General features: G+C 48.2%; 2 pseudogenes, besides 4 other annotated features; both read left to right on the forward strand.

Moving 5' to 3' along the window:
- Window positions 1,482-1,591: a silencer, noted in NCBI's record as "silent region_12981". NCBI's record gives its function as "represses an Ori minimal core promoter by ATAC-STARR-seq in GM12878 lymphoblastoid cells {active_cell/tissue: GM12878}" and the evidence as "EXISTENCE:reporter gene assay evidence [ECO:0000049][PMID:35858748]".
- Window positions 1,722-1,911: an enhancer, noted in NCBI's record as "active region_18009". NCBI's record gives its function as "activates an Ori minimal core promoter by ATAC-STARR-seq in GM12878 lymphoblastoid cells {active_cell/tissue: GM12878}" and the evidence as "EXISTENCE:reporter gene assay evidence [ECO:0000049][PMID:35858748]".
- Window positions 2,182-2,241: an enhancer, noted in NCBI's record as "active region_18010". NCBI's record gives its function as "activates an Ori minimal core promoter by ATAC-STARR-seq in GM12878 lymphoblastoid cells {active_cell/tissue: GM12878}" and the evidence as "EXISTENCE:reporter gene assay evidence [ECO:0000049][PMID:35858748]".
- On the forward strand, window positions 3,922-5,164 carry SRMP1 (SRM pseudogene 1; annotated as a pseudogene).
- Window positions 12,148-12,678: an enhancer, noted in NCBI's record as "H3K4me1 hESC enhancer chr20:46496687-46497217 (GRCh37/hg19 assembly coordinates)". NCBI's record gives its function as "activates a minimal SCP1, AML or CMV promoter by ChIP-STARR-seq in naive H9 embryonic stem cells {active_cell/tissue: H9 hESC(naive)}" and the evidence as "EXISTENCE:reporter gene assay evidence [ECO:0000049][PMID:30033119]".
- On the forward strand, window positions 17,396-17,478 carry RNA5SP486 (RNA, 5S ribosomal pseudogene 486; annotated as a pseudogene).

Consider the following 24,921-nt stretch of genomic DNA (forward strand, 5'->3'; position numbering starts at 1 on the left):
AAAGAAAGAAAGAGACAGCCCAGGGGCCAATCCTCAGAGGTTATATTTGGCTCCTCTGTGTAACAGTGGGGTGGGGGTGCATTTTGGAGGCAGCTGCTTCTTGACCCCTGGTGTGTTCTTCAACTCAGCAGTTCCTCCTCATGCTCCCCAACCCCACAGCCCATTTCTCTGGAGTGCCTGGCTATGTGGTTTGTTTACGTCCCTGGCGGATCAGTTCCGGGGTCCTATTCTGGGTGTCTCTTCTGAGGACCCAGACTGCAGCCTGTGCCCCTGCCCTTCTCATGATTTTGGGGGGATCCTAGTCCCCTGTATTCAATCCCTTTCTGCCTAACATGGCTAATGTTGTTCCTGGTATCTGGAACTAAACCCTCCTGAGACAAATAATGGCTGACATCCGGTCTTGGTGCCAGGGAGACAGCGGCCAGCACCGGGGGCTCTGGAGGGCTTGGGAGGGGGTGGCCTCCACTCAGCTCCTGCCATGTAGGGTTGGCCAGTGTCTAGAGTTTCAATGAAAGAGATTCTTATGTAAAATAATTTGAGTCTTGAATGTTGGCTCATTTAACAAAAACAAACACAAAAGAGAGAGGGCCAAATGAAACATGTCTGTTGGTGAGGGTGCTCATCTGCAAGGGCCGTTGTAACCCAGTACCCTGGACTGGGCGCTTTGACAGCAGAAACGTATTGTCCTGCAGTTCTGGAGGCCAGGAGTCTGAGATCAAGGTGGCAGTGGGGTTGGTTCCTTCTGAGAACTGTGAGGGAATGCTGTGTTCCAGGCCTGTCTTCTTGGCTTGTAGATGGGCCATCTTCTCCTTCCATCTTTCCTCTATGTGTGTTTCTGTGCCCAAATTTCTTTCTTCTTCTTCTTATTTTTTTTAATGAGGACACTGGTCATGTTCTATGAGGGCCTACCCTAATCACCTCATTTTACTTTTTTTTTTGTTGGATTTTTTTTTTTTTGACAAAGTCTCACTCTGTTGCCCAGGCTAGAGTGCAATGGCATGATCTCGGCTCACTGCAACCTCTGCCTCCCAGGTTCAAGCGGTTCTCCAGGCTCGGCCTCCCGAGTAGCTGGGATTGCAGGTGTGCACCACCACGCCCAGCTAATTTTTTGTATTTTTAGTAGAGATGGGGTTTCACCATGTTGGCCAGGCCAGTCTCGAACTCCTGACCTCACATGATCTGTCTGCCTCGGCCTCCCAAAGTGCTGGCATTTCAGGTGCGAGCCATCATGCCCGGCCCTTATTTTACTTTGATTACCTCTGCAAAGAAGGTCACATTCTGAGGTACTGGAGGTTAGGATTCCAAGAAAGGAATTTTGAAAGGGACACAGTTCAACCCAGGGCAGTGAGACGTGTGGAAAGGGCCCCAGGTCACAGCTGCTGGAGGATCCAGGGCTAATGAGCAGCTAAAGGAAAGAAGGACTGGAGAAGAGCAGATTTCCACAGGCCTGGGCGCCCTCCCGTTTAGGAAGCCTGCCCCAGAAGTCCCTTTGTGGCAGCTTTGAAATGCACCTTTCTGGCCCAGGCCAAGGGCTGTGCTATTGTGATGATGCGTGAACCAGAAAACACCCATTGGTGTGCCTGTAACACAGCTCACAGACCCGAGACCGTCCTCTCCTCCCAGAAGTGAGTCAGCGAGTTTCAGGATCAGAGCAACTGGGCAGGTGACAGGTCAGCGATGTCCCCTCTGCACAGTTCCCAGGGTGTCTGGGGCAGATTAGCTGGGCAGCGAGATCACAGAGCAACCAGGCCATAAATTGCTCCAATGAGGAGGCAGGACTTTTCCTCCCTGCCCTTTTCAAACTTGCTGTGGTGGATTCCTTTTTTTTAGTTCAGGGAAGATTGATGATTTCATTACTTGTGGCACTCAGCAACAAATCTCAGAGTTGCAGCTAAAGTGAGCTCTTTCACCACGCTGCATCTTCCGCTCTGCTATTCATCATGTTTAATCATTCGCTTACCTCGGACCGCTGCCGGCCTCGGGAGGGCAGGGTATTACGGACTTGGGACAGTTTTACACTTTAGAGGCTGAGGGGAGGGGACTGTGTTAGGAAGGAACAGGGCTGGGGTGGGAGGTTCATGGCTCAAGGTGGGCGGGAGCCAGTGAAGCTTCAACAGAGGCAACAGAATGACCAATAAAGGGAAGTGACAGCAAAACCCTCCTGGGACCTCAAAGGCTGGCCCTGTTTGCCAAGAAAATCTCTCATAAAAGGGGTGAGACTTAACGCCAAAAAGAAAAGGAGAGAAACGGCCGGAGGGTTCTCTGCCAAGGGAATGTTGAAGAATTTAATTCGAGATGAAATGTGCTCTTGTTTGTGTACAATTAATTTTCTCCCCAAATGAAAGGTTTTGTCTGTCACTTGAGTGTTTCAATAGCAACCGCGTAATTAAGGTAGCATGTGCCTCTTCAGTTTGGGAAGCGGCTGTTTGTGTTAACATGTTGGGGAAGCACACATTGCTTGGACTGGTTCCTGGGTCTAAGAAGGTAAAAAACAAAACAAAACACACAAAGAATGGAAGAAAACACCTCCAACTAGAGCCTTGGCTCCTGCGGGGATGATGTCATCTGGAAACTGTGAGCAGGACCTTCCCTGAGAACCAAGAGGCCTGGGCTTCCTGGGATGGGAGGCTGTGAGGAGGAGAACTTAGACAGTTTCCAGAAACTCTAAAAACGGAGTCATGAATTCAAACGCCCACGGGGGCCAGGTAGGAGGTGTATGTCCTGGAAGGGGTTGGCTGTAGTTTTTCAACACAAGTGTGTTTTGTTTGCGTAGCAACACACAGGTGTGAATACTTTAGTGCCACAAAGGAGTATGCACTCTCATTTGTGTTGAAATACATGGGTCTCCTAATTTAAGTTTCATGGGTTTTTTTTTTCCTGTTAATAAAGAGATGGTGTATTACTTCTCTACTGCTGTGTAACAAATTGCCACAAATTTAGGGGTTTGACACAGCAGCCATGTCTTATCTCACAGGTTTTCCAACATGATGTGGCTGGATTCTCCTCTGAGGATCTGACCAGGCTAACATCAGGGTATCTGCCAGGCTGTGGTTCTTATCTGGGACTCAGGTCCTCTTTCAAGTTTCCTGGTTGTTGGTAGAATTCATTTCCTTCTCATGTTTTCCATGTGGTCCTCCCTATGTTCAAGCTAGCTATGGTGGGTGGAGTCCTACTCATGCTTTGAATCTCTCTGCCTTCCTTTTTAGCTTTTAAGGGTTCCTGTAATTATCTTGAGCCCACCTGGATAATTGAGGATCATCTTCCTATTTGAAGGTCAGCTGACTATTTAATCTTAATTACATCTACAGAGTCACTTTTGTTCTGCAGTATAACATGATAATGAAAGTCACATCTGGTGGTGGAGGTTATGGAGACCAACTCAATGTTGAGAAGTGAAAAATCTGGTTAAAAAGAGATGAGAGATCTGAACAGACATTTTACCAAAGAAGATATATGAGTGGCAGCTGAGCATATGAAAAGATGCTCAATGTCTTTGTTGATGCAAAGTAAAATCACCATGTGATGCCACGACACACCCAGTAGAATTGCTAAATTGAGAGAGACTGACAAGACCAAGTGTTGGCAAACATTTGGAGCAGACGGAACACTCCTACATGATTGGTGGTTGTTCCAATGGTATCACCACTGTGTCAAAACAGTTCCCAGTTTCTTACAAAGTGAAACTCACACTGTTTGACCCAGTGATCTCACTCCTCGGTATTTATCCAAAAGAAATGAAAACATATGTCCACACATAGCAGCTTTATTCATCATGAAACAACACAAATGCGCATCACCCGGTGAATGGGTAAACACACCAGTGTATGCAGTTACAATGGAATATGATACTACTCAACAGCAACGCAAAAGAAATGATTTACCGATAAAAGCAGCAGGAATGGAGTTCAAAAGTATAATGCAGCCGGTCCCAGTGTGCTGTGGCTCCACGTGGCCTGTAGTCCCAAGTCCGTGCCCCACATTGCCTGCCTGCCATGGAGCCTGACCCTAAGGGCCCTGCTGCCTCCAGCCTCACTGCCATCCCCGAAGTCTCGTTCCACCAGACGTGTAGCCTGTGGTCCGGGCAGGCCTTGTCTCTGCTCCACGACCAGCACTCGCACTACCAGAACATCCTTGTCTTCTGCAGTAAAACCTACAGCAATATGCTGGTGTTGGATGGCATCGTCCTGGGCATAGGGAGGGATGAGTTCTCCTGCCAGGAGATGGTAGCCATCCTGCCTCTCTGCAGCCACCCCAAGCCACGAAAGGTGCTGATCATCGTGGGCAGAGATGGGTGTCTTGCACAAGGTGGGGAAGCACCTCTCCATGGAGTCTGTGGTCCAGTGTGACATTGACAAGGATGTCATCCAAGTCTCTAAGAAGTTCCTGCTAGGCATGGCCAGTTGCTACTCTAGTTCAAAGCTGATCCTTCATGTGGGTGACAGTTTTGAGTTCATGAAGCAGAACCAGGATGCCTTTGATGTATCACTGACTTCTCAGACCACATGGGCCCGGCTGAAAGCCTCTTCAAGGAAGCCTATTGTCAGCAGATGAAGGTGAAGGTGGCCCTCGCGGAGGACAGCATTCTCTGCTGCCAGGGAGAGCACCAGTGGCTGCACCTTCACCTCATAAGGAGATGTGGCAGTTCTGCCAGTAGCCGTGGTGGGCTACACCTACTGCATGGTCCCCATCTACCCCTGCAGCCAGACTGGCTTCATGCTGTGCGGCAGAACATGATCACCCGTGACCGGGAGCTGGTGCAGCACCTGACACAGCAGCAGGTGGGGCAGATGCAGCTGAAATGCCACAGCCCAGACACACACCGCACAGCCTTTGTGCTGCCCAGGTTTGCCTGCAAGGCCCTGAATGGTGTGAGCTGAGCCCCACTGCCACCACCAACACCACCTGGGACCTCGGACAAGGGAGTCTCCAGGGTGCCTGGGTGCCTCCAGCCCTGGGCCAGACCTCCTGCCGGCTCTCACTGATCAACCGAGTGTTACAGGCCCCAGAATGCTGCCCGGCCTGCCCTGCTGGGTGGACTGTCTGTCTGTGTGTCTGTGTTGCTCTGTGTGGCATTCAGCCTCCAAGCCTATACCAGCTGTGCACACCGCTGTCTCTCTCACTTCTGTTACCCTCCTCACTCACCAAACACATGTATTAACAACAACAAAATAGTATGTTTAGGAAGAAGCCAGGCACAATGCGGTTCCATTTGCATGCAATTCTAGAAAATTCAAAACAAAAGTGACAAAGAGTAGTGGTTGCCAGGGGCTGATAGTGGAGAGAAGAGATTGACTGCCAAGGGGTGGGAGAAAACTTTTTTGGGATGAGGGAACATTCTGGATTACGATTGTTATGGTGGTTATTTATATGACTGCATACAATTGTCAAAACTCAACAAAATGTTCACTTAAAATTGGTGGCTTTTATTATATGCAAATTATACCCTCATAGAGCTGACATTATATCATTACTATAATGGAAAAATCAGTGCTCCCTGCCAAAATTTCAGGCAGCTGTAAAAAGAAATACACATATGTGGCTGGGTGCGGTGGCTCACTCCTGCAATCCCAGCACTTTGGGAGGCCGAGGTGGGTGGATCGCTTTGAGCTCAGGAGTTAGAAGCTAGCCTGGGCAACATGTCAAAACCCCATCTCTACAAAAAATACAAAAATCAGCCAGGCATAGTGGCTTGCGCCTGTCATTGCAGCTGCTTGGGAGGCTAAGGCTGGAGGATCGCTTGAGCCTGGGAAGCAGAGGTTGAAGTGAGCTGAGATTGTGCCACTGCACTCCAGCCTGGTGACAGAGTGAGACCCTGTCACACACACACACACGAAATACATATACGTAAAAAGTATATGAAAAGTATATAAAAAGAAAACAGACATCCCGGGTGTTGTGTGTGCCTCCTTGCACCCCCCAAACCCATACTATGGCTTACTAGGCACTAGATTCCAGCTATGGGTTACATCTGGAGAGCCCCCTATTGCCCCCAATAGATGACCACAGCTGTATAGATTGTGACTATGAAGATATTTGTATGCATTGTAGAATCAGCTTAATATGTGAAATGGTAGATGTTATTCAAGGGTGCTAGTCTAAACCCACAACTGGAGGTTTGTTCAGTGAGAAGTGATTGTACACACGGTCTGTCAAATAGGACCACACTTTGCGCCTCCAGGACTTTGCACATACTGTTCCCTCTGCTGGGATTGCTCTTCCTGCAGCTCTTTGACCAGCCGGTTTCTTCTCTTTCTTGGGATTTTGGCATCAAAATAGTCTCAGAAAAGCCCTCACTGACCACCAGCCGTGCTAATGCAGCCCCCACCCCAATTACTCTCTGACTCAAAGCCATGCTCATTTTTTTCAAAGTCTTTTCCTAACTAGCTTGTTTATTGATTTAACTGTTTTTTTTTTTTTCAGAGACAGGGTCTCACTCTGTTTCCCAGGCTGGAGTACAGTGGTGTGATCATAGCTCATTGCAACCCTGAACTCCTGGCCTTAATAAAGGGATCCTCTCACCTCAGCCTCCTGAGTAGTTAGAACTACACACATGGTTTTTTTTTAATCTAAAATTTTTTGAAATTTATTTTTTGTAGAGATGGGGGTCTTGCTATGTTGCCCAGACTGGCCTGGAACTGCTGGCCTCAAACAACCTTCCTGCCTTGATTTCTCAAAGCACTGGGATTACAGGTGTGAGCCACCATGTCTAGCCACTGATTTAAATTCTTGAGTGTAGATTTTCTTTCCAACCAGACCATGAGCCCCATGAGGTTAAAGCCAGGTCTGGACCATCCCATGCAGTTTCTCCACAGCCTTGAGTGGGGGCAGTCACAAAGCAGACTGGATTAGTTTTCCATTGCAATGTAATAAATTGCCATAAACTTGGCAGCTTAAAACAATGTGCTTTTATGATCTCACAGTTTCTGCAGATGAGAAGTCTGGGCATGGCTTAGTCAGGCCCTCTGATCAAGGTCTCCAAGGCGGCAATCAGAGTGCTGGCTGGGGCTGGGGTCTCATTTGAGGCTTGGCTCCTCTCCCATGCTCCTGTGGTGTTGGAAGAATTCATTTCCTTATAGCTATAGAACTCACAGCAGCTTGCTTCTTCAAGGACAGTGGGAGAGCATGTCTCTGGCTTCAAATCTCTTCCTTCAAAAAGCCTGATATTCTCTTTTAAAGAGCTCACTTGATTAGGTCAGGCTCAACTGAGATAATCTCTCTTTGGATGAATTCAGGGTCAACTGATTAGGGACCTTAATCACATCTGCAACATAACATAATCTAATCACAGGAGTGAAATCCCATCCTATCAGCAAGTCCCACCTACATGCAAAGAGAGGGTGTTATACCGGGTGTGTTCGCTGCGGGGTGGAAATCTTGCAGGCCATCTAGAAAATTCTGCCTACAACACTGGCTCTCAATACATTTGTTGAATGGATAAAACACCTGCCCTTCCAAATGCCTTCCTTTGTTTAAGATTATTTCCTTTGCCAGGAGTTCTTTCCATCTTGCTGCCGACTTTGCTTGTCAAAATCTTGTTTATCCTCTGGCTCAGATTCCCTTCTCATTCCTGACTTCCTCACTGTTTCAGGCAGACAAAGGTTAGGATTTACCTTCCTCACTACACATGTGAGGCCAGATGGTTTCTTAGTTGTAACGTTCTTATGTAGAGACACACATGTACATTTACGTAAAAGGGATCACATGACTCCTGTTGGAGTGTGGACACTTTTTTCTTCTCTACCTTTCCCCTCACATCTGTCCCTCCATCTCCAAATATAACTTGTATTTTAAAAAAAACAGGATATCCTTCCATGTTTTCCTTTGTATTCCTATAACCCCATAACCCTGCAAAGCTCATTTCTTTCTCTAGAACTCCTTTCTCTTTCTCTTTCTTTCTCACACACACACATACAAAGGTATAAAAGGAACTTTTTTTAAGGGAGGATGAGTCATTGTTTTGAAAAAATGGTATTGTATGACATACATTTTTCTGCATCTTGATTTTCTCACTCAATATCTTGTAGGAATATCTTCAAGTCATCTTGTATAGTTCCAAATTAAAGTTAGTTCCTTACAACAGATGTGCATTATGTCACGAAGTGAATATACTCACAAAGTGCTCAGCCATTCCCCTGGAAATGGGAATTTGTTTGCTTCTGGTTCTGCACCACTATGAACAACGTTGCAGTAAGTATCTTTGTACATTTTGGTACAAATAGGATGGATTTTCAACGGTTCAAGAGCTGGGTGCATACACAGGGTATATGCACTTTTAACAATTTTACTAAATGCTGCCAGATTGCCTTCAGAAGAGATTGTATATTCCATGTTTCTACTAGACTGTAGGAAAGTATATCTTCCCCACAGCCCAGCTGCAATAGGATTTATGGCACTTTTAAATTTTTGCCAGTACGCTAGGCATAAAGCCATAACTCAGGGTTGAATATGAAATTTCTTGAATACTGAGGAATTCAAACATCTTTTATTTTCCTTTACTTTCTTTCTTTTTTCTTTTTTTTTTTCCTTTTTCTTCCTTCCTCTCTCCTTCCCTCCCATCTTTCCTTAATTTTCTTTTTTAAATATTGAGATTTGCTCTTCTGGGAATGGTCTCTTTATAACCTTTGCCTCTTTCTGGTTAGTTTGTAAGAGCTCTCTGTATATAATAGAAATTAACCCTTTATCATTTGCCTTACAATAATTTTGCAGATTTATAGTGTATATGTATATTTTATTTACATAATCTTGCAATGTACAAAATTTTAATATTCAAATATGCTTTTTTTTCTTTTATTGCTTCAGGATTTCCATTCTTGGTTTGTAAGATATCCCTAACCTTTAGATTATATCTGTAGTATCTTAGATTTTCTTGCAAAATTTTAATTTAACTTCGTACAATGAAGTCTTCGTCTTGTTAGAATTTAACTTTGTAGAAGACATGAGACAGGGATGCATTTTAGTTTTAGCCTTAATTTTCTGGCAAATAGGAAACCAGTTGTTCTGGCATCATTTGCTAAACAAGTCATCCTTTTCCTGTTCGAATGAATTGCTGTCTTAAGTTACCTGGTGGTTTCTTGGGAGCTCAGCCAGCATCGTGAATGTTGGGTATAAGTTTTGTTTTCTCTCTAACCAGCTTGAGTGAACAGAGCATCCTGGGGTGCCTCTGTTTAATTTGTTTACTCATTCATTTAACATTAGTTGTCATCTATTATGTTCCAGGCTGAAAAACATGCCCATTCTATGTCCTCAAGGCCTTTTTGGTTGAATACGAGATATAAGAAAAGTACAGGAGGTCTTTGTCAACCAAGAAAAATAGTCCCTTAAAGTCAATTTACTTAAGACAGGGACACCATATTTCAAAATAAAGAGTGGAAAGAGTGATTGAGTCTTTATCTTGAGTAGTGAAATGAAAAGTTTTAGAGAAAGTGTATTTTCTTATCTCAACAAAATTGATGCCATAATTGCAATGAAGGAGGCATTGATTTGGGGGTATCATTTTCCTATAAATCCCCTGCACTTCACGTTTAACGTTCACAGTTCTATAAAAGAAATTCAGTTTTGCAAAATATTTCATAGCTCATTCATTTCCACAAAGGACTCAATTCTTTTGTATGCAAATAATTCTCTTTTTAAGTACCCATCAGGTAGTGTGTCGTTAACTGGTCTAATTACCATGTCTTCATGTGCCCATGGCTTCATGAGCTGTTCTCACTAATTTCACTTTCATGAAGTTCACGAAATCCCATAGTCTTTGCAAGATTTGCATTTCCATTCGGCACTGGTTTTCATCTACTTGCATGATGTGCACAGATGTTTTCACGTCACCCTCAGGAAACCTGGCCTCTGAGGACCTGTTGGGGTTGGCACAGGGGAGAAAAGTGCAAAGTGCAGCTGAGACTGAAGAGGTGGATTTTGGAGATGAATGTTGTAATCGGCCAGTTCATTAGTGAACTCTTGGACTGTGATGGCTTTATCTCTCTATGCAACTTTGTAATAACTATGGGGACTCCATTCATAAAGATTTGGACCATGTGAACGCCTTTATACAAAAAACTGTGATCTACAAAATAGGAGAGAAATATTGCTGGAACACTCTGGGAGTTCTGAGAGGGAAGTGGCTACGGCTGGGTGAGAGGCTCATGGGGAACAGGTGACGGGGTTTGCAGGAGTGGCAGGAGCCCGCTAAGTGGTTCCTGAAGGATGAGTTGGGTTGGCAGAGGGCATTCTAGCTAAAGGGAACAGCATGACCAGATGCAGAGAGGAAGACACGAAGAGCAACATACGGGTCTCCCTTCAAGGAAGGATTTGCTGCTGGGCTGTGGCAACATGTGGTCAGCAGACGGTCTCCAGCTGGCAGCTGGAACCACCTCTACCATAATCAATGTCTCCCCGTGCCTGGCCTGTCTCCCACTTCCTTTCACAAATGTTGATCCCTAAAAACAACTTCCACTGAAAACTCCGTCTCAGTTTCTGCTTCTGGAGACCCCAGCCCGAGGCAAGAGCAATGGGTTGGTGTGGGGGCTGCAGTGGGATCCACGTGGTTCAGCTCCAACAGCAGGAGTTCCCCACCTGGTTCCAGGTTTTCACCATCAAGTCCATGCATTCCTCAGATCGAGGGGTTCCACGGTTGACGAAAAGTATCATGTGTCATGTTTTGGGGATTTTGATGAGATTTGCCTGTGACATCAGGAGTAGCCTTTTATTTTTATTTTTAAATGCTTATTTCTGTGCCCAGCCCAGACCTTTACTTGATGTCCAGGTTCATGCAATCAGCTGTGGTTGGGCTGTCTCCAACTCAAATAGTCGTGGGTTTCCCTGGCCGCCTTCTCCCTGCATCCCCCACCTCCATGATGGCCCTTCTTCCTGCCCAGGTGCTCAGGCCGGCATGGCCAGCTCCTCTCCTCCCCTGGCACCCACCCTCTGACCGCTCAGCACCTCTGTCCATCTGCTGTCCACATGGACCAATTCCCGAACTCCGGCCTCCTGTCTTCTCCCGCTGCAGTCCCTGCCTGGCTGCTCTCGGAGGATGATCACACCGCGGCCCTCCCTGGTCTCCCTGCTCAGCCTCCACCTCAGTCTATTCTTTTTTTTTTTTTTTTTAACTTCTTAAATGCACAAATTTATTTTTTCTCAACAAACACACATCTTAATGCCTTTACAACTTTTATCTCCCCAAATATATCTTGCTTTTCTTTATACATGCTGTATACAGAGTTGTTTTCCTTATATTTAGTAGTTATTGCTTTTTTGTGCCCTTTTGGGTCCTGAATTTACACATCAGGCATAGAGCTTGGGACAGGAAAGAGCTGTGAAGCAATTCCTGGAAGATCAAACCCCTTCCAGCATGGCCAGGTAGCACAGCTGAGCCAGGGATGATGGGGCCATATTGGGTTTGGCTCTGCCTTGCAGCTGGCAGTCCAAACACACCTCAGTCTATTCTATTCAACGATTCAGATCAGCCAGGCCAGCACCGAGCCCGGGTCTCCAGCCTCGCTCTGTGCAGCCACAGCCTTTCCCCGGTCGACAGGGCCCTGAGCCTCTGGCACCTTCCACCTGCCGGTCTCTTTCCTGCTTCTCTCCCATGTGGCCTTGCTCTGTTCAAGCCAGGAGCTCCCCACCTCGGGGTCTTACCCTCTGCCCCATCCGTCCTGGGATGCTCCTTTCTGGGATGTCCACCCACTGTGCCCTCACTGCCTGGGCACCTGCTGCTGAGACTGCAGAGGTGGATTTTGGCCCCCTTCTCCGGGGGCTCCTCTGATGTCCATGAGCAATCACAGCCCCCACCGCCACCCCCTCCCTTCCCAGGGCTGTCTTTCTCCAGCGCACTTCCCACCATCTGACATAGTTTGCGTGTCGCACACCTTAGGTTGGATTCTGTGCAGCAGAACCTGAGCACCCATGTGTGGGAGCCCGTGCAACCCTCGACACAGCAGCAGGTGGGGCAGATGCAGCCTCAGATGCGCACCGCGGGGCCTTGGTGCCTTTGAGACTGGGCGTGACTCAGTTCATCTGGAGAAGTCCCCGGGAAGAGAGGGCAGGACCGCGGGGAGGGAGACGGGAAGGAAAAAACGCCCATCCTGATGGGATAAGGAGCAGGTGCCCACGGTGGGCCACTGGTGCTCAGCTGTGCTGGGGACCTCAGGGAGACGCTGAGGAGCGGCCTCAGAGGGGTGCACTGGAGAGGCGGGGAGGCCAGATCTGCTCCCCTGCAGCTTCCATTCGCCCAGGGCAGCTTTCCAGGACTCCACTCCCAGGTCACACAGGCTCCTGCAGCCCGAGGAGGCCCCGCAGGAGAGCAGGGGCAGCAAGAAGCCATGGTAGGGCAAAGACGGTGAGGCTTGCGGGACCCACGCGGCACCACCAGCTTCTGCTTTGTGCACTGTCTTGGGCTGTCACCTGCTTATCCTCTGGGTCATGAGCTCCCTGAAGACAGGGGTCTGTTTTGTTCTTTGCTGTGGCCAGAGACTACAACTGTGCCTGGAGCACAGTCGGCCTTGCTTAAATATGCGCTGAGTGAGTGACGCCTCCTGGGTCCGCCTCTGCAGGCTTCTGAGATGGATATTTGGCATCTTTAAAGAACCCAGATCCCAGGCAAAGTCGCCCCTGATTTGGCTGATGCAGACTCCATCTCCTGCTGCTTCTGGGCTGACTCCGAAGCCTGTTGCTACTGTTTGCAGCCAAGTTAGTGTTCCCAACAGCGGCAGCTCCAGAGAGGGACTCAGACCGCTGATAAAAGCTCCCATTACACCGGGTGTTTTTCTGATGCTTTTGTACAGCTACCCTTTGATGCTGCAGTCATGAATCCTGACGGCAGAGTGACGATAATGGTCCCTATTACCCCTGGCATCTCACTTGATAGGATGACCAAGAGCCCACAAATCGCTCCTGAGTGTACCTCTAGCGACACATTTTTTTTTTTTTTTGAAACGGTTCCACCTGGTTTGTTCAGGAGAAGAAACAACAGATACGTGTATTTTCATTTCTTCCTTTAGTGGAGGTGTCACAATTGTTTTGGAAGTTGTCCAAGTGCCCAAGACCCCGGTCACAGACTCGACCATCTTCCCCATCCTTGAAAGCAAAGCATCCATCTCCACATCTCCAGCACCAGCACAGGGCCTGGCAGGAGATAGGGCTCAAAGCAAAGCGTGTCTATGGGCCACCCGAGTGAGGTTAGATGGGAGCCCGGACCGCTGGCCTGCAGGAGGGCCCGAAGTCTGCGTGAGTCTCCTTCTTTCCCTGGGGGAGGTTCAGCCCCAACACCGTGGCCAGGATTGCTGCAGAAGGAGCCTCCGCCTGGCTCATCGCAGCCAGGCGATGATGTCTCGTGCTGAGTTTGAGTTGGGTGCTTGGTTAAGGTGCTGGCCATCAGAGTTCTCTGTTGTAAAGGATCCCTTTCCCTTTGAAATTGCCAAATAACATGTGTGGTGATATTTTGGGACCTTGTGGACACCCTGTTTGTCAAAATCTTCCCCCAGTGGTTTTGCATCCACTGATGGTCTACGTACAATGATTACATTGAAGGTTGCAAATGGTCTTGTACATTTACCAGCAGGCCTTCCTCCAGGAAGAACTGTCCGTTCTCTCAGTCACTATTTTCAGTATGGTTATGGACTCAGGGATTCTTTTTTACTCCATGCATTCACAGCCACCACCGAAATTGTTTTATGTTCTTACGTTCCTACATCTGGCCAGTGGGAGCCCTATTCTTCCAGCTTCTATTTTGTGGTTTGTTCTGATTGCCCCCTTTGAGGACTTTCTGATTTTCTGGTACAAGATGAAATCTTAACAACACGTCAATATCATGAGAAACAAACGAGGAGGGTGCACTGTTCTAGGAGATGGGTCATGACAACCAAAGACCATGCATGACCATCCATGGGATCCCAGAATGAGGAAAAAAAGCTCGAAATTTGGACTTATAAGCCAGGGATATTCAATCTTTTGGCTTCCCTGGGCCACACTGGAAGAAGAAGAATCGTCTTGGGCCACACATAAAATACACTAACACTAACAATAGCTGATGAGTTTTAAAAAATTGCCAGAAAAAAAATCTCATAATGTTTTAAGAAAAAAAATTGTGTTGGGCTACATTCAAAGCCATTCTGGGCCACATGTGGCCTGCGGGCCATGGGCTGGACAAGCTTGGTATAAGCTATATTTCTGCATCAATATTACATTATTGGAGGTGAAAATGGTTTGGACACTTTGTAGATCTATTTTTTTTTTTTTTTTTGAGACAGAGTCTTGCTCTGTCGCCCAGGCTGGAGTGCAGTGGCACGATCTCGGCTCATTGCAAGTCCTGCCTCCCAGGTTCACGCCATTCTCCTGCCTCAGCCTCCAAAGTAGCTGGGACTACAGGTGCTTGCAACCACGTCCTGCTAATTTTTTGTATTTTTAGTAGAGACAGGGTTTCACCATGTTAGCCAGGATGGTCTCAATCTCCTGACCTCGTGATCTGCCCGCCTCTGCTTCCCCCAGGTTCAAGCGATTCTCCTGCCTCAGGCTCCTGAGTAGCTGGGATTACAGGGGTGCGCCACCACGCCCCGGCTAATTTTATGTATTTTTAGTAGAGACGCGGTTTCGCCATGTTGGCCAGGCTGGTCCCGAACTCCTGACCTCAGGTGATCCACCGTCCTCGGCCTCCCAAAGTGCTAGTATTACAGGCAGGAGCCACCACGCCCGGCCAAAATTTTTCTATAGCTTTAACATTTTTCCAAATAGTAAGTTGGAGAAAATAAAAATAAAATCAAATAAATCAGACAAGAAACACGTATTGAGGTTGGAGGCAAACCTTTGGCCCTTTGACTGCTCTGTAAATATATCTCCTATCACTGCTGCCTGTGTGTGCCATTGAAAGCAGACACTTTTTTTTTTTCTGACTAAAGGATAAATGTGGACAGACTGAAAAGCAATTGTCTCTCTGTCATTCAGGAGAAGGATAATAAGGCAAAGAGGAGGGAGGAAGGAAAGGAGGGAAAGAAAAAAAGAAGCAAATGTGGAAGGCAGAATGGAAGGAAGGGATTTATTGATTAGCATGTCTGAACCAGGCACTGTGTTAGGTACTTGCTTTTACGTTATTCATCTCCTTCCAATGGCAACCTTTAAGAGGCAAGAAAATCAGGGCTTAGAGAAGCCGCAAACCTGTCCCTTGGCCACAAAATAAACACTGGGCATCTCAGATAATGATGTTCAGCAAAGAAATATGATTAAGCTAATTAGCCATAAGGTGATATTGGTGGAAAGCTTCCTGGACATAGAGATTTAAAAAATCCTTGGCTGGGCATGGCGGCTCATGCCTATAATCCCAGCACTTTGGGAGGCCTAGGCTTGAGCCCAGGAGTTCGAGACCAGCCTGGGCAACATAGTGAGACCCTGTCTCTACAGAAAATAAGAAAATTAGCTGGGTGTGGTGGTGTGCACCTGTAGTCCCAGCTACTTGGGAGGCTGAGGTGTTAGGATCACTTGAGCCCAGAAGGTAGAGGCTGCAATGAGCTATGATTGTGCCACAGTACTCCAGCCTGGGTGACTTAGTGAGACCCTATCTCAAAATAAAAATAAAAGCAAAAAATAAAAAACCCTGACCAAGGTTTATCTGTTTGTAAAAGGAAGCTTTGTAGCAGGAAGGGTTGTGTCCCTTGAGCTGAAACATGAGTAGGGACAGCCTGGCCCTCTCACCTAAGTTGAACCTTGGCCCATTGGACAGGCCTTGGAAAGCAGGTGCTGTCTCCTTTGCTTCTTACACAGTCTGTGGGACATGACCCTGGCAGGACCCTACCCCATCAGGGTGCTCCACTCCTTGCTTCACAGTGAGGAGTGGAGGCCCTTGGGGGACTTGGTGGCTGGGGTGAGCCCTGAGTGGAGGGTGGGGCTGATCTGGGCACAGCCTCCCCACCCCTGGCCAGCCCTTTACAGGGTTCAGAGCACCATGGGCATAAACTCAGGGGCTTCCTCTGCAATTTGAAGATGCTCCCGAGAAATAATCTTAGGCACAGGAAGGCTTTGCCCTGTGCTCTTACAATGGAGTCAGCGGCTGGGTGTGGAAATTAGGGTGAGAGGGTGGGAATATATTGCCCCTTCCCCAGCCCCAGCCACCCATGACACCGGCAGCTCTGGGAGGGAAGGACACTTTTGCAAACTTAAACAGCACTGACAAGGACTCTTTCTGATTGCTCTCCAGTGAGACATGAGTAAATTAGCTAATTAAGGCAGCTCCACTGAATACATTCTACATGCAGGCAATTTGCTGTTTATTTCCCACATGGACAAAGAAACGAAAATAGGAACTAAATCAACATCTCAGAAAGAAAAAATACCTTTGATGAATGAATTATAATGAAAGATTTCTTGATTATTGAAAGTGTGTGAAATGGTTCTCACCCCAAGGTCAAAAATTTAATAGCCCCCGTCCAAACCAAAGTGTCCATCATTCGTTCAGGAAAGTATTTGTTTAGTGCCTGCAACGTGCCAAGCCTGTGGCTGGGCCTGATGATGAAATGGTGGGGAAGGCAGAGCAAAGGAGGATATTAATCAAATAGTCAAACAGATGAGACAGATCAGAGCCCTTCTGTCCACATTTCCTGGGGTCTGGCATCTCTTGAGATTCTGGTAACAACAGGCCAGGAAGGAGGCAGACGCTGTTTGTGCAAAGAAGACAGAGTCGGTAGATGGGACTTGCTGGCAGTTGAAGCCTCACAAGGCTCTGATATGTTTCAGACGCTCTTTTTTGAGGCCACGTCATCCTGCGGGGTCCTGTCCTCCCCCAGCTCTCACCCTCCTGGGCAGTTCTGGACCAGACAGGAATGACTGACTGTCACGCCACAGTGGGGGCAGAAGAGATAAGGTCTGGGGCGGAGTGGACAGTCCAGGGAGTTGAGGAGTGTCAGTGGAGGAGAGGAGAAAGTGAGGGGGTGAATGGAGAAAAGGGTGGGGCCAGCTTCCTGCCGGCCGAGGGGGGGTCTTGTGGTTCTCCCTGACAGCTTGGGATGGAGGTGCATTCCCATGGATAAGCTTGGGAGGCAAGTGGCCAGAGAACTCCTATCCCACCCCGTTCCTGTGTCACAGGGAGGATGCCACATGGGTTGCGATGTGCCTGAATCCGGGTGAAGTACTGGCTGTTCACTGTTTCTTCTTTGTGTGTCCCTGGATGGCAAAGGAGAGGCCTATTTTATTGCAAACTGTTGCACTCCTCTCCTCTCTGATGAGTGCATTCAGCCAGAGTGTGCGTTCTCACATGTCTGAGATCCCTGAACTACTTGGTGACCAACCACTCCCAAGAAAATTGCTCTAGTTCTTAGGACAGTCCTTGGACACATTGAGCATTCAGTAAACATCTGTGGACCCACTGAATGCGTGTCTTAGGACTCAGGCAGGGGCCCTGTCAGGGGATGGTGCTGTTGGCTTCCTGCTCAGAAGCTAAGCAGTGTTGGGCCTCGCTGGTACTTGGATGGGAGACCGCCTGGGATGGTGCTGAGGAGCAGGAGTGGTGTCAGCATAGGGGCTTTGGGATTCAGTGTCCCCTTTGAGGGAAGCAGGTGAAGAGGAGACAGCTGGGGCCTGGATATTGGAGTCCCTGGGTAAGGTGCCCCCAAATTTGGTAAATTTGATAACAAGTGCCTCATCTCAAAGTGAGGGCCATGGGTGGGTGTGACTGCAGTGGGTGCTGGTTAAAAAAAATGTAAAAAGCTCTTCTGGAAAAAAGACCCCAACAACCCTGATTTGTAGCAATTGCCAGTTTCCCTGGTGTAAATATTCCCACCATGGCTGATTTCAAGCTACCAAAGATGTAACCACAAATTAGCAAAGTTTCTGAACATTTCACAGTTGGCTCTCAGAGCCAGCTGCCTGCACTCCACTGGGTGTGAGGGACTGTCTGGTCCCTACTAGGGGTCTCACAGTGGATGTGGGGTGGGTGCACCATGGGGCTGTGGGTGAGCCTGTATATCCTGCCATGCAACGGGAAGCATTACTTGAATCACCCACAAAGTCCAGCAGTGAGGACCTGGCAGATGTAGACCAATAAACACTGAAGAAGTGGAACCAGCAGGGATGAGGATGAAGCAGGATCTCCCAAAGGGAACACAGACCATGTCAGGAGGAGGAGAGACCCCTGTGGAGGCTCTGAAGCCCCTAACGGTTTTTGAAAATGTCTCCTTTGATCAGGCTGCAAAACTCAAACCTGGGGGGAAAGAGGTTGACTGTCGCTACAATTTTATTAGAAGAATTATGTTGAAAAATGAGAACTTGATTCATTCTTTGATTAAGAATTAGGGCACAGGCTGGGCGTGGTGGCTCAGGCCTGTAATCTCAGCACTTTGGGAGGCCAAGGTGGGCGGAACATGAGGTCAAGAAATGGAGACCATCCTGGCCAACATGGTGAAACCCCGTCTCTACTAAAAATACAAAAATTAGCTGGGCGTGGTGGTGTGCACCTGTAGTCCCAGCTACTTGGGAAGCTGAGGCAGAAGAATCACTTGAACCCAGGAGGTGGAGGTTGCAGTGAGCCAAGATCGCGCCACTGCACTCCAGCCTGGCGACAGAGTGAGACTTTGTCTTAAAACAAAACATAACAAAAAAACAAAACAAGAATTAGGGCACGTTTGCCACTATAACCTAAATGTTGTTGAATAGGAGAGAAAAACTCATTTTCGCCAATTTAATTTCATATTTTTTGATAAAGCTGTAGTTAAGCTTTTCTCTTTTCTTTTTTTCTTTTTTTTTTTTTTCAGAAGAGGTGGTGAGTGTGTGGCTGACAGCAGGGGCTCTGGTGCAGGGTGACCTGATCCAGTCCTGATGATGCCAATTTCTACACAAGCAACCACCTTTCTGTGCCTCTGTGTTTTCATCTGCAAAATGGGGACGGTGAGGTAGTAGTGCCTGTGTTTTGGAGAGTATATGATTTAATACACATGGAGTACGGGGAACAGCGCCTGGCCTAAAGTGAGTCCAAGGTAAATGTTTGTTAACTAAATCACAAAGCATTTGTTGTGAAACTTTGGTACTCAATTTAATTGAATTTACCTTGAATGGGCTTTTTAGTTGTACGGGTTGTCCTCAGATAACAACGGCCTTGTTTCATTACACGTGGTCCTGGCTGGGAAGAAAAGACACCACAGTTTGATAAGAGGGGCCTTGGGGGACCTGACCTGGGCCCTGGGCCTGGGCGAGGAGGTGATGAGGACACAGGAGAATCCCCCCAAGGAGGTGACATTCATCTGAGATGTGACAGGTGACGAGGCTCCTGGAGGTAACTGGGTGAGGATGGGGTTGGGGGTGGGGGCACATTCTAGGAGGAGGGGCCAGCACGTGCCAAGACCTTGAGGTTCCGGGAAGCCTGGTCTGTCCAAGACCAGCGGAGAGGCCAGTGTGGCCATGACCGAGTGGACACAGGGGTGAGTGGTGGGAGGTGGGACTGGACGGGGGCAGGGACCTGTGGGGGTTTGGTCCAAGGGCAGCCTCTGAGGTTTGATGGGTCCGATCTTTCTCTTTGGACGTCCCCATGGGAGGGCCTCCTTGTCTAAGGCTGATCTTTTCCTCCCCATTCCCACCATGGCCTGTTTCACAGGTAAGAACCCGGGTGGGAGGGGAGACCTCTGTTTCAGGGCCTTGGCCACATCTCAGGAGAAAATCTGTGAAGACTGATTTTCAGGAAATGCTTGGCTGGGAACTCTGCCATGGGAAGCAGGGGTCTGAGAGCCAGGTCAGCGATGCTGTCTTGTACTCGTGACTGAACTGGAGGCCGGGCAGCCAGGAGAAGCCCCAGGACCCTCCTGATTCATGCGGGCCTATGCAGGAACTGCCAGGGGTCAGAATGAAGGCATCTGGCTTCGGGAGCATCCAGTGGGAAGCAGCCCAGGCTGGGAAGTGCAGATTTTACCGGAGCTGTAGGTTTTCATGAGGAACCTGGGGGTCACTCAGGCATCTCCCTGCAAACAGCTGCCTGCCCACGGTGAACATCCAGGGGTCAGGTCCCAGGGCTTCTCCTGGCTTCCCTGCCTCCAGTTCAGTCCCAAGAACAAGATGGTGTCACTGACCTTGCTCTCAGACACCCGCTTCCCACAGCAGAGTTCCCGGCCTGCCTGCAAAGTGCTAACCACACTGTTGGAATTCCTCAGGGGTGAGCACGAGCCTCTCCGTTTCATCTGTGCCTATCGTGGACACATTAACTATTTCATGAAGTAACACAAGTAGCATCTGGAGTAAAAAAATTAACTAAAAATAGGTGAAACAGTGAAATTCAGTGACAAGGATGCTCATGAATAATTAAGAGGCCGACACAGGACCACGTTTTAAGGAGATTCTCATTCCTAAGCCTGTTGCTTTTCCCTGCACAGCACAAGCAAGACCTGATTTCCCAGCAGGAAGGTTGTCTTAATTAAATCTTATTTGTCAAGAAGGCAAGATGTATTTGTGTTTCCTCAGGCTCCCATTATTATAAACTTCGCAATGTTTTCTCTGAGAAATGCTCCTTTTCTGCTCAAAAGAGCTGATTGTTGCTGTTTTTCTCTCTTCCATTGTGAGAAGGAAATGCTACAAGTTCTTTGTCAGGTAATCAATTATCCTCCTTAAAGGATCCCTGAAGTGTCATTTGAAAATTATGGCTCCTGAAAAATAATAAAATGGCCACTTTAACATATTGTTGCCTGTCAGAGTGAGTTTCTCTCCCCTGCAGAGTCACAGAGCCTGTAAATTGCCCGTGGTAATGACCTCTGGCTCCAAATGCAGTCACTGGTCTCTGCACAGATAGACACTGTCTGTCACTTCTGGGGTTTCACTGTTGACGCTGTGTCTCTTTTAGCTTCTAGGAAGCCCTGTAATGATGCTGTAATTAGCAATGCATCCTTCCCTCTCTCCCAACTCCAATTGCTGTAATTTATGTCTCTCAACAATACTTACACCAAGCACGCCATCTGTACCACTGTGTGGGGAAGGAAGTTCTCAGGTTCAAGGTCTCAGGGAGATAAACACAATTTTAAGTTCACAGACATCCTCAGCAATCAACATCAACTACCACACCAAGAAAGCAAGACCTTGGTATTGTTGGCGAGTAGCAGGTAATTGATGATCTTGTCAGCATGATCTACTGTCCCTGATCTGTATCAATATGAAATAAGAAACCATTTAAGAGGTGTCAGGAAAACATGTCAGGCCCCCCTCCTCCTCCTCCTACCATTTGACATTGACTCATTCACATATAAAATTGAGTCTTTGTGATGGTGAAGTGTTAAAGACCCCGTGTAGTCAAATTACTATCATGAAACCAGTGAGTGGAAACAAGTTATTAAATGTCCCTGGTTCCTCCTCATTCAAACAGGTGGAAGAAAACAAACAGAAAGCTTAGATGCAAATGTGACTTCATGCCCAAGTGTTCGTGAGAACCAATATACGCCAAGAAAGAGAAAGCCGGGTGGTGCCCCAGATAATTCGGGTGAAAAAGACTTCTACCAGAAAATCAAAGACATCCAGGCACAGCTTGAGGATGCAGCCGTAGTCCATCCATCGTGTCTTCTTGTGAATGAGCCTCAAGTTTCTTAGCAACACAGGACACGCTAAGTGTCCCTGTGACATTCAGTGGAAATGTTGAAGCATCACTGAAATTCCTTGAGCCAAGGTGCACCTGTTCAGGTCTCAAGACCTTTTCTGAGAGCTGGGCAGACCACCTTCCCTCACTGGGCTTCAGCTTCCTTATTTAAAACTACACATTCCTTTGGACATTCCTTGTTTCTGCCCAATGCAAGATAAAGGAGAGGTGGCAGAAAAGTTGAACTTGTTTCTGCTGGTGTTCCCGGAAGAAAAATCTTGATCTCAGGGCATCCTGAGGTGTGTCCTTGGGAGAATGGATCCTTGATGTTATGAATGAATTGTGTAGGAATCGCACCCTCTAATGGAAAGTCGAACTTTCAGACTCGCCAAAAATCCAAAAAGAGGGTTCTGAAGTGTATGTGGAATCTTCATGTGTCTTTTTGCAAGGACATTACTCATTCATTCCCAAGGCATTGGGCCGTTCCACTGTAATTCACAGTTAGTTGGTTAATTGCTGGTGTAGACCCCAACATTTAGATATCCTACTTCCTTGCAAGCAGAGCCCTGGTTTTGCTCAGATGCTGGGAAGCAATGTGCTCTCTGACACCAGGGAGTGGATTACCATTGGTCTGAGCCCAGCATGGCAGTCTCACTTACTTTTAGTAATTGGCTTGGAGGGGACATTGAGTCAGGGCTAGTCAATGAGATGTAATTTGGGAGTCTATTGGTGGGGGCTTCTGGGGTCTCTAAGGGGATCTGTGAGGAGCAACTCTCTCTTTTCTCTCTTCTTTATTCTGGTCATGGTTCTGAGTGGATGTCTTGGCAGGTGAGATGGCAGCCATCTTGTCTCTATGAGGGCACAAGGCAGAGGAGAAGGCTGGCACACAGAGGAAGGGAGAGCAGAGCCAGGGGGCATCAGCAGCAAGTGGCTGAGGTGACCAGCAGGGGACTTGCCTACGTGTGGCTCTCAGACCTTTCCTTATTGCTGCAAGCATTTCCCTCTGAGAAGGACCAGCTCTACCCACACTCTACCACTCCATCTGCAAGCCCAGAGGTGCCCAGGAGTCCCTTGGCCTCCATATGAAGCTACCCCTTCCCTGGCCCACACCTCAGCTGACAGGGGCTGATAGGAAGCTCCACAATGCTGCGTGAGCCTGGAAAGATCCCCACCTTCCTGCTCCTAAAGACACACCTTCCCCACCACATTCCACCCTGAGAGCATGGAATTAATCACCGGATACCTTCTATTCCTGTTGAAGTCCATCTCCTCGTGAAGCCCGCCTCCTGGGTCATCCTTTGTCCCCTGGACTCTCAGCCCTACATGACCCAGTGGGAAATGAGGCCTGAGCCCTATTTCTCTGGCCCTTCCTGCCCTGTTTCTGTGTCAGTTTCCTTTGTAGCATTGTCATTGTCTGACTCAGTCTTTCCTGGGGATCCTGGAGACAATCATCTTAGCCCAGGTCTCCTCACCCAGAGCCAAGGCCAACTGAAAGAGTCAGTGCCTTTGGGGCGCAGTGCCTTCGGGGCAGATGCAGCCCCAGGGGTCCAGGGTGGGGAAACGGGAAGCGAGGTGGGGAGGCTGGGAAGTGATGACTGAGCTGATGACAGCCTCCCAAAGACCCAGCTGGTCACCAGGTCACGTGGAGCATTTCCAGACAAGCTGTGCAGAAACGCTCCCCACAGGATGGCCCATATGGGGATGGTTGGGAGGGGCCATTTATAGCTAATCTCTCTTTTTTCCTCTCCCTTGAGGGTGCAGGTTTGCTCTTCAGGGAGTCGTCTCTTTCTTTTCTTTTCTTTTCTTTTTTTTCTTGTTGAGACTGAGTCTTGCTCTGTCATCCAGGCTGGAGTGCAGTGGCATGATCTCAGCTCACTGCAACCTCCACCTCCAGGGTTCAAATGATTCTCCTGCCTCAGACTCCCGAGTAGCTGGGATTACAGGTGCCTACCACCATGCCTGACTAATTTTTGTATTTTTAGTAGAGACGGGGTTTCACCATGTTGGGCCAGGCTGGTCTTGAACTCCTGACTTCAAGTGATCCACTTGCCTCGGCCTCCCAGAGTGCTGGGATTACAGGCATGAGCCACCACACCTGGCCGAGTCTTCTCTTTCTTAACACCAGGGTGCATCACCCAGTCCCTTGGCAGCTGCTGGGGAATCCAGATCCCACGCTCATTTTTGTGGCAACTTAGCTGAATCCAGAATTGGTGGAGGATCCAGAATCTTGGGGCGTCGGTCTCAGGCCGTGTGTGGTGTAAGGCCTGAAACTGAAGTGTAATATTAAGTACGGCCTTGATGTCTTTGAGCTTCACAGGGCTGCAGAGGCCAAACTACTAGTTCCCTTCCCTCACCAATATGCTCCCAGCTCAGTGGGAAAGACTCCCACCTGGTAGGTTTACCTGTCAACTGGAGCAGCCACGCTCCACCTGGTCCTCAGCTTAACTGGCTTCACCTCTCTGCCCACAGGAACCAGGGGTACCTCACCCCGTTGTTACTTCAAGGTCTGCCTCCCACAGCCCCTCCTGTTCTCTCTGTTCCCAGGTGCACACCCTGTGGCTCTGCAGGGCGCGTGTTATCCTCCCCTGCGGGCTGTATTTGTGGCCGACCCACTGCCCGTCTCATGTGTGCAGCGCTGGGTGTTGTGTGCTCGGCCATCTCATACTATTTAGGGCGAGGATGCATCCCTCACCGATGGGGTGAACGGGAGGTAGTCGGAACACAGTGGTGTCCTGTGGACCTGCGCTGAGTCAGTTCCTGCAGTGGAAGCTGGGGAAACCAGAGGTGACACGCTGCATGGGTCTGATACACAGCCCGGAGAGTTTGCATCTCATTTGCTTGACAGTTTTTCTCTAGTGGAAAATATACTTATTTTTTTTTCTTTTTCTTTTCTTTTCTTTTTTTTTTTTTTTGAGATGGAGTCTCACTCTGTTGCCCAGGCTGGAGTGCAGTGTCACGATCTTCGCTCACTGCAAGCTCCGCCTCCTGGGTTCACACCATTCTCCTGCCTCAGCCTCCCGAGTAGCTGGGACTACAGGTGCCCACCACCACGCCTGGCTAATTTTTTGTATTTTTAGTAGAGACGGGGTTTCACTGTGTTAGCCAGAGTGGTCTCAATCTCCTGACCTTGTGATCCACCTGCCTTGGCCTCCCAAAGTGCTGGGATTACAGGCATGAGCCACCGCGCCTGGCCCAAACTACTTTTTAATGAATGGCCTCTTCGGAAACTGCTCAAGGGGGAAAGATGACTCTGGTTCTTGCAGCCAAAGTCTGTTTCCCTTTGCACTAAGACTGATTTGTAATACTCATCATAGCCGTTCATTTTACTTTTGTGGAATGAATTCCAGGAGAATTTCTCTTTTACAAGCCTATCAAATATTAGGTGGTTTTGAGCAAGAGCTTTCATA

Source organism: Homo sapiens, chromosome 20, assembly GCF_000001405.40.
Source record: "Homo sapiens chromosome 20, GRCh38.p14 Primary Assembly".
Classification (NCBI taxonomy): Eukaryota; Metazoa; Chordata; class Mammalia; order Primates; family Hominidae; genus Homo; species Homo sapiens.